This window comes from Homo sapiens, chromosome 19, assembly GCF_000001405.40.
Source record: "Homo sapiens chromosome 19, GRCh38.p14 Primary Assembly".
NCBI lineage: Eukaryota > Metazoa > Chordata > Mammalia > Primates > Hominidae > Homo > Homo sapiens.
In genome coordinates this window covers 41,491,221-41,501,140 of record NC_000019.10, presented here as the reverse complement: position 1 = coordinate 41,501,140, position 9,920 = coordinate 41,491,221, and the positions used below count along the sequence as shown (strand labels likewise).

The 9,920-nt window shown below is 46.1% G+C and overlaps 1 long non-coding RNA gene across 2 annotated transcripts in view; it reads left to right on the top strand.

Moving 5' to 3' along the window:
• The first annotated feature begins 491 nt into the window (after window positions 1–491).
• Window positions 492–9,920, top strand: part of PCAT19 (prostate cancer associated transcript 19) — a 46,481-nt gene continuing 37,052 nt past the window's right edge. The window contains exons 1-2 of one of the 2 annotated variants that reach the window (NR_040109.2): window positions 492–557; window positions 5,714–6,601. This is a non-coding gene — a long non-coding RNA (prostate cancer associated transcript 19). The remainder of the gene's footprint in view (window positions 558–5,713; window positions 6,602–9,920) is intronic. The other variant, NR_136334.1, reaches the window with a different exon arrangement.

Here is a 9,920-nt window from a genome sequence, read left to right as displayed (position 1 = left end):
AAGGAAGAGATAGTGCCTAAAGTGGCCAGTATTCTGACCGATATGTTAGAAAAATGGTGTGCCGACCAATTCATGACATGTGTCCCAAAACTAGCAACGGAAATTGTATTCGCCGTGTTGAGGTCTCTAATCCAGATGATGCTCATCTATGTACTGGAAAAGGCAGAGTCCTTTCCTGACAAGCTGCTGAAACTCTTCAGAAACATCTCATATTTCCTGAAGAAGATGATGTCTGGACAAGCAGCACAGGTCGTTCAGATTTAACTTTCTATTCATATATCCAGCACGATATTCGCACAATTGTCACGAAACCTTACCAGTTGATGAGTCCTGCACATTTCCTTTAATTTCAGGAGGAAGAGGGTAATCCGGATGAGTTTTCTGACCTACTCGGCGGCTGTGATTAAACAACCACCAGGAAATTTTGACGACACTGTTCTCCTGAGCTCCTCCCTTTCCTCCGGGAACAAAACAATTGAATTTACAAAAATAAAGTGTTATTTGACTGGAGTGAGGTCTCATGTCTGCTTATGCGGTGGCTCGCTGCTCAGAACAGGGTGAGTCTCTGGGTTGTGTGCTGAGGAGGGGAGGCTCTCAATCTGGAGAAAACCCACTGCAGGGGACACCTCCATGGGGTCTGAGGGACTGAGGATGAGGAGCCGGACTGGGTCTAGGGAAGGAGGAGGTTTCAGAGGGTGAAATTCTGGCACTAAAGCCTGGGGGTGTTTGGGAACTTCCTCCTTCCGAAGAAGTTTCAGGGAGGGATAAAGACAAACCCTGGGCTCCTTGAGGGGCCCTTACTAATTTGAGAGGACTCTATCGGGAAGGAGAGTGACAATGGCCTCCTTGAGGACTGAGGCCCCTGAATAAATGAGGCCCAGATACAGTCCATGGGGGATGAGACCTTCAAGGGTCACATTTTGGTTGGGACAGAGGAAAAGTGCAGCTCTGCAGCCGCAGAGGAAAACCCGGCAGTGTGAAAGCGACCTTGGAGGGGCCCTGTGCGCTCTGAATGCGTCTGAGCCCCCATCCCCTGTCCCCGCCTCTCTTTCTGGATTCTTCCAGCTCGGCTGTCTCCGCCATCTTCTGAGCGCTCCACCCTGACTTATTCAAGTTTCCCTTCTGCCTTCCAAGTACTCCAAAATCTTTCAGATCTGTGTCCCTACCCCTGTTTTTAGCATGTGTTGGGGCTCCAGGTCCCTGAAGGTTTCTGGCCTGAAATCCACCTCCCCAGCGGAGTGGACTGCGTTCTAGAGACTCCACACTCCGCGAGGTTCCCAGGCCCCTGAGGGACAACCGAGTGGCCTGCGCACTTCAGGGCTCCACACTCGGCAAGGTCTTTCAAGCCCTTGGGGTCCCCTTCTTAGTTTTTTCCACCTTTCTGGGCTGCAGTCACTCCATAAATGCTGGGATCTGATCCCCACCCCCACTCTCGTTTCCTCAATTCTGCGGGCTACACGCTCTGGCAAGGTCCTCCGGGCCCTGGATCCCCTCCCTCTCCCTATGCCCACGCTCCTAGTCAGCCCTTCTGGGGTCCACTATTTTCAGGAACTAACCATTCTCATGGAGCCTTGCTAACCGGAAAGCTGTGTGGAAGAAAGGCTTTGAGGATAGAGGTGGAGATTTGGCTCTTCCATAGTGCCACTCACCCACCCCACCATGCTGCCACTGCCAGACCCGGACCCCTGTTTCAGAACAAGTGACCAGATTCGCTCCTGGACAGCCCTGGACACTGGCCTTTTCTCTGAAAACTACTCACCCTTTCTCTAGTCCCCACTTCATGCCAGCCTCATACCCTCTTCCTTCCCCCACGCTGGCTTCCGGGATCCTCCTCTGCTCAGACAACCTCTTCTGTGTCCCACCCCCGTTTTTAGAATGCTTTGGGGCACCAGGTTGGGGGAAGGTTTCTGGCCTGATATCCATCTCTTTCCAAACTCCCTTCTTCCCTTGAAAGGCTTCTTGCCTTCAGCCCCACTTCTGGCTCCGAGGTTTCAGGACACCCTCCTCTTCATCCTCATTCTTTTGACCACCAGCTTTTTAGGAATTCGAACGTCCCTCTCATCTTCGTGAATCCTGTCCAGGCATTTGTTGACCCCTTCATCTGATACCCCTGACCTCACATTGCCAAAAGTCTACCCCTACCCAGTACACTGGAATTAGACAAAATCCCAGGAGTTTTACCTCAACTCTGAGTGTGCCCACAGGAGCTCTCCCTGAAGCCACGTCCTTTTAAGCAGGGTCTAGGGTTCCTCCCTTGTCTTAATGAACTCTTTGTCACACGGAGGACGTTATGGAGCCCTTATGATCTTTCACTGCCTTTCTGCCCAGCGTTTTGTCTTTCCATGGACATTTATAATATTTTCCATGGACATTTTGTTCTCTCAATGTCCACCCCTAATTTCCAACATCCCAAAGATTCTCATGTGTTTCCTGAAAGCCATTTACAGGAATGGCTGTGCCCAGACCCCCTTCCCCAGGATCCTCCTTCACACCTGGTAGGTGCCTCTCCTAGAGAGATTTGCACTCAGTTGTCGTGCAGTCACATGGCCCAGATGGTTGTTAATCACCCCCTTCCTGGCAACAGCTAGCAGCCAGGGAATCACTGGCACAGAAACCTCAGGGTGACCAAGATGAGGCCACCTCTGTGCTGAAGGCTGTGCTCCAGAGCCTGCTTGGGATCAGGCTTAAGCAGGTCTTCAGCCAGACCTGATGTTACCTGGTTTCCTTGAGCTGCCCTGCCTGAGCTATCGGGAGCACTCCCTCAATGCACATCTTGATTCCCTATCTCATGCTCTGCTTCTAGAAACCATGAGCTATCAATTGCTACTGGCAATGGTCCTGGGAAGTCAACCCTAAGTATGGATTCTGGGGTTGGATGACTCCCCACAGGACTTCAGTGAGCAACAATCACTGCTGGCAGTTGGAGGACAGAGTCGCTAGGGCATGTGACCACTGTGAAACCACCGATGTTTCACCTGGGGTAATTTTGGATGAACTACGGTAGAAGCACTGAAGGTACATTGCTTTTGGTTTGGAAGATTGTAGGTAAATAATAGCGATATGAATGTGGAATTGGATGGCTGCAAACGAGTGCCATTGATGCATTGAAAGAGGAAAAGTCAGGCTGTCACCTGTCACTCAGCAATTTAAAGTGTGAGAGTTGGGACTAGATGTGGTGGCTCACATCTATAATCCAGAGATTCGGGGGAAGCTTGAAGAGGTAGGATCTTTTGAGTCCAGGAGTTCCAGACCAGCCTGGACACCAGAGCAAGACCTCATCTCTACAACAAAATTTTCTTAAAAATTAGATGGGCTTGGTGGCACGCACCTGTACTTGTAGATCTAGCTAATGGGGAGCATGAGATAAAAAAATCACCTGAGTCAGGGACTTAGGGGTTACAATGAGGTATGATTGTGCCACTGCACACACTCCCACCTGGCCAACAGAGTGAGATTCTGCTTCCAAAAAAATAAGAAATAAATCAGGTTTGAGAGTTGGAAAGCATCATCTTCTCCTAGAGCCAAAGGACATGTACAACTGAGACCCAGGAACAAAGCTTCATCACAAAGAGACCATCATCAGTGGAGCCGGGAGATGCATTCCCCCTCACCCTGCCTTGAGGAGGCAGTGGAGTCATCTGTCTGGGATCCTTTCTGACCCAGCCCTATTTGTTTGTCTCTTTGGCTTCTTTGGATTTGTATATTTTAGCTGTTATAACACTGTAAAACAAACAGAGTGATTTTTTTGAGTTGTGTGAATGATGCTAGCTCCATAGTCACCCTGAGAGTGATGGGAACTTTTGAATTTGTGGCAAGTTGGAGGGTAGTGTAAGTGACCTGAGATTGCCAAATTGGGGCTAGCACTGGATGTGAGGTTAGGCTAGTGGAAAAATATGCCCAGAACCAGAGGAGTGTGGGCTCACTGCAGGTGGTTAGGCTCAGATCCAAATTGTACAGATGGATAGCTTTGGGGTAAAGAATAACATAGTTGAGAAGTGCATGTGTTAGTCTGTTCATGCACTGCTATAAAGAATTACCTGAGACTGGGTAATTATTTATAAAACTCAGGTTTAATTGGGTCATGGTTCCACAGGCTGTACAAAAAGTATGATGCTGGCCATCAGCTCAACTTCTGGGGAGGCCCCAGAATAGTTAGAGTCATGGCAAAAAGTACAAGGGAAGCAGGCTCATCTTCCACGGCCAGAGCTGGAGCAAGTGGTAGGAGAGGTGATACACACTTTCAAACAAGTAGATCTTTTGAGAACTCCATCACCGGACAGCACCTATGGGATGGTGCTAAATTATTCATGAAATATCCGCCTCCATAATCCACTCAACTGTCACCAGCGCAGCCAGCCCCACCTCCAACAGTGGGGATTACAATTCCATATGAGGTGTGGGTGGGGACACAGCTCCAACCTCAATCAGTGGGCATCCTGGATTGGGTCTACTATAGAAGGAGAACCAGGAGCTGACTATGATCTTGAACCCTACCCATGATGGCCGGGCGGGGTGACTCATGCCTGTAACCCCAGCACTTTGGGAGGCTGAGGTGGGTGGATCGCCTGAAGTCAGGAGTTAGAGACCAGCCTGGCCAACATGGTGAAAACCTGTCTCTACTAAAAATACAAAAAATTAGACCGGCGTTGTGCTGGATGCCTGTAATCACACCACTACGCTCCAGCATGGGAAAAAATACCAAAACTTCGTCTCAAAAAAAAAAAAAAAAAAAAAAAAAAAGACTGCCCATGACCACTGCACCAGTGAGAGGGACACCAGCATCACTGAGATGCAAGGGCTGGACATTCTTCATAGGTCAGAGCTCAAAGCAGGGGACACTGATACAGAGATGGGCTCCATCCATAGCACCAAAGTGGTGAGAGGATGTGGGAATGGCAGAGGCCAGCACTTTGCCATCAATGCAAGGGGGTATAAGGAGGTGACACCAGTGCCAGAGTACATCACGGGGGGACTGCCCTACAATATCTAGGACTTACCTCTTAGAGCGTGTTTCATTAGCGACAACAGATATAAATGGCAGACAGGTGTGTCCCTGCATTAACAGGAAATAGAAATCATCAAGAGGAACAGAAGGCAGATGTCAGCAGCCCCTTAGAAAGTCATCATCCTTCATACAGTTAAAATCTGAGACAGTTCTCACACGAGAAGGCCTAACTCAAAAAGAGGCTGGGTTCTCATGAGGCAGGTTTATGCAAAACCAAGGAAGGTGTACAAGTTTGGAATTCTCCAGTTTCCCTTGGAAAAGACCTACAGTCATTTGCTTAGGTAACTGAGCACTGAACAAAGGTGAGTATTGTTGTCTTTTAGAAGCTCTTGGCCAAGAAGGCCTTGTTGGCATAAAACCCATGGTTTGGAAACATCACCATGACCCCTGTTAGAGTAATGGCCTAAGGGTGGGGGTCAGGAAATTGATGTATTCCTTGCCAACTTCTGCCTCTAAGTGAGTGAACTCTGTTTGTGAACCTCTCTCCTCTGTGGTTATGTTCCTAGGCTCTCATGTATAATCAGGAGTCATAGACTTAGAAACAGGAAAAATACTTACAGTGTTTTTGTGGCCTGTGAGCTATGACTTATAATTTTAGGAAAAAAACAATTGCAAATGGAAAGCCTAAGTCTATCAATGCTCATCCAAGACAACATAATCAATAAAAACCAATATCAAATCTCAAGGCAAATTATTTCCTGTATATAGATGGCAGAGATGAGCACCACCATCAAAAACTCAAGGACCAGTGCTGTGGGTCCAGTCATCTGTTTCATGGAATTCACCAGTCTGGTATCTTCAAAATCCAGAAGGATGATGGCAGATGGCAGGAAGGTAATGCAAACGTCATCAGGTGTGACCCCACTGTAGCAGCTGTGATGGATGTTTTCTCTCACCATAGCAATAAATAACACAACCTCGGTCACACTGTATGCATTGTTGGTCTGCAAAATCCATGTTTTGCAAAACTCTTCAGGAAGGTGGATCTGTAATATTGGCATTGACATGAGAACAACAGCAGTATTTATTCACAATCTCAAGCTCTCTGTCTTCCCGTCTCTCTCATTAGCCATCCAAGTAGTCCTGAGGAACCAAGCCCATCAGAACATTCTGCAACATAATACACAGCTCCATTCTCCATTCAAATTTTGTTGTTGTTGTTGTTGTTGATGAGACAACATCTTACTCCATCAGCCAGGCTGACGTACAGTGGGGCTATCTGGGCTGACTGTAGTCTTGAGCTTCCAGGCTCAAGGCATCCTCTCACCTCAGCCTCCTAAGTGGCTTGAACTACAGACACACAGCGACATGCTGGGCTAGTTTTTGTATATTTTGTAGAGACGTGCTCTCACCATGTTATTCAGGCTGGACTCAAACTCCTGAGCGTAAGTGATCCAAGCACCTTGGCCTCAAAGTGCTGAGATTACAAGCCTGAGCCACTGCACCCAGCCCAATCTCCATTCTACTGATAACAATGTCATTACCAGGTCTGATGGACAGGAAATGGTAAGGTTTCTGAAAACCTAAGGATCACACAGCGAGTTCCAAAGGCTGAAAGTGCATACCTGTCGACACTGATACCAATGACATCCAATGGTGAGAATGACATTCCTTGTAGTCCTAGCTCTGCTCATAACAAATCTATACTGAAGTGTAAGAGTTTGATGGTCATGGGGATTTTCCATGTCTCTGCCTTTCAGCGATGTGCCATATCTGTGAAGTGTTCAGAAATGCAACAGCCTGAGGCATGCTGGGCATATCCTCTAATAAAAAGGAAAATGCCATTTTATGGTCCTGTATTTCTACAAGTTGGAACACATGGGCCTGTGATCCAGATGGGGGAAATGGGAATATTCCCACTCATTCACCTTCATCCACGAAGCCCATTTGAAAGCTTTGGGCTTCCCATCCTTGTAGATTTTAGTGTTGTGGGCTGGGTGCAGTGGCTTTCACCTGTACTGCCAACACTTTGGGAGGCCTAGACAGGTGAATCCACTGAGGCCAAAAGTTCGAGACCAGCCTGGCCAAGATGGTGAAACCCCGTCCCTACTAAAAATACAAAAATTAGCAAGGTATTGGGGCCAGCACCTGTAATCCCAGCTGCTCGGGAGGCTGAGGCTGGAGAATCGCTTGAACCCAAAAGGCAGAGACTGCAGTGACCCGATCCTGCCTTTGCACTCCACCTGGGCAAGCAGAACAAAACTTCTGTCTTGAAAAAAAAAACAAAAAACGAACAAAAAAGATGTTAGAGTTCTGGGTTTAGAGGTCTATACCCCAGAAAGAGAATGGTTTCAACAAGGGACAAAGAAGTTGCTTTAAACGTTGACTTGCCATTTCTTTTCAGTGTGTTTGTTCTCTTGCGTCAAGAGACCACCAGAAAAGTGGTGCAATTACTCTCCTGTCAAGAATCATTGACTATCATCTGCAAGAGGGTCAGATCCTGGTATATAATTAGGGCAGAAATACTTAGTCTGAGAAGGGTATGACATCCAGAGGCCCTATTAATGATGTCCTTTTCTCCATGCCTGACTCTGACTCCATGTGCTGGACTGCCCCTGTGTGGATGGCCTCATGGCCTGCTCGGACTCTGAGGTCCCACCCCAAGTGGCACCTCCATGGAGGGCTCTACTCTTGTATGGGCTCTGACACTCACACTGAGACACTCTCCCATGGACACCTCTTCACCCACTTGGGGTCTGAAACTGGGCTACTCCATCCCTCCCTAACCTGGAACAGAGAGCTTTCACTGCTATTACACAAGTCATAGAGGCTAACTCCTCATTTTTCCAAGCTAATTATTGAAACATTAGTCCTGGGTTGATAAGACAAGATAAGTTAACTTTTCATAAATTTGCTTATCAAGTTTTGAATAAATTCAAATAAATTCACCTTCCCCACACACCTTAGTTGTCGACATCACACGTGCACCCATACTCACAGGGTGAGCACGAAGGCTTCACTGTCAGTGGAGAAAGTGGCAAAACCCTTCTGTGCCTCATCCTGGTCTAGACCTGGCCCTCATCCTTTCCCACTCTTCCCCTCACTCCCTTGGATTCATCCACACTGGCCTCCTGCCTGCTGCTCCACCTCCCTGCGAAGCTCACCCCTGCCTCAGGGCCTTTGCACGTGCAGTGGCTTCAAGCCATATCCTCTTCACCCAGATCTCCCAGATCTCCTGAATGATCTTCTTTTATCATTCAGGTCTCAGCTTGCATGTAATCTTCTCAGTGAGGATTACCCAAACCACATAGTTCATTCATTCATTCAAATATTCATTCAATGGCATATTGACAAAGCAGCTACTTCATGCCAGGCCTTGGGCCAGGTGTTATGGATATGGCAACAAACAAAACAAGAGTTTTCTGCTCTCAAATTTTTACCCACTTAAAGGAGATATCATACATCATCTGTAAATAAATACATCATCTGTAAATAATGATGTAAATAAATACATCATCTGTAAATCTGTAAATAATGATGTAAATAAATACATCATCTGTAAATAAATAAAGTATAATAAAAGAAAATAGTAGGTTTTTTTGGTTGGAGGTGACCGTGAAGTTTGCAAATACCATCTTACAACACATTATTTTATTTTATTTCATTTCATTTTTAATTTTATTATTATTATACTTTAAGTTTTAGGGTACATGTGCACAACGTGCAGATTTGTTACATATGTATACATGTGTGAAGTTGGTGTGCTGCACCCATTAACTCGTCATTTAGCATTAGGTATATCTCCTAATGCTATCCTTCCCCCCTCCCCCACCCCACAACAGTCCCCGGTGTGTGATGTTCCCCTTCCTGTGTCCATGTGTTCTCATTGTTCAGTTCCCCCCTATGAGTGAGAACATGCGGTATTTGGTTTTTTGTCCTTGTGATAGTTTGCTGAGAATGATGGTTTCCAGCTTCATCCATGTCCCTACAAAGGACACGAACTCATCATTTTTTATGGCTGCATAGTATTCCATGGTGTATATGTGCCACATTTTCTTCATCCAGTCTATCATTGTTGGATATTTGGGTTGGTTCCAAGTCTTTGCTATTGTGAAGAGTGCCGCAATAAACATACGTGTGCGTGTGTCTTTATAGCAGCATGATTTATAATCCTTTGGGTATATACCCAGTAATGGGATGGCTGGGTCAAATGGTATTTCTAGCTCTAGATCACTGAGGAATCGCCACACTGACTTCCACAGTGGTTGAACTAGTTTACAGTCCCACCAACAGTGTAAAAGTGTTCCTATTTCTCCACATCCTCTCCAGCACCTGTTGTTTCCTGACTTTTTAATGATCGCCATTCTAACTGGTGTGAGATGGTATCTCACTGTGGCTTTGATTTGCATTTCTCTGATGGCCAGTGATGATGAGCATTTCTTCATGTGTTTTTTGGCTGCATAAATGTCTTCTTTTGAGAAATGTCTGTTCATATCCTTCACCCACTTTTTGATGGGGTTGTTTGTTTTTTTCTTGTAAATTTGTTTGAGTTCATTGTAGATTCTGGATATTAGCCCTTTGTCAGATGAGTAGGTTGTGAAAATTTTCTCCCATTCTGCAGGTTACCTGTTCACTCTGATGGTAGTTTCTTTTGCTGTGCAGAAGCTCTTTAGTTTAATTAGATCCCATTTGTCAATTTTGGCTTTTGTTGCCATTGCTTTTGGTGTTTTAGACATGAAGTCCTTGCCCGTGCCTATGACCTGAATGGAAATGCCTGGGTTTTCTTCTAGGGTTTTTATGGTTTGAGGTCTAACATGTAAGTCTTTAATCCATCTTGAATTAATTTTTGTATAAGGTGTAAGGAAGGGATCCAGTTTCACCTTTCTACATATGGCTAGCCTGTTTTCCCAGAACCATTTATTAAATAGGGAATCCTTTCCCCACTTCTTGTTTTTGTCAGGTGTGTCAAAGATCA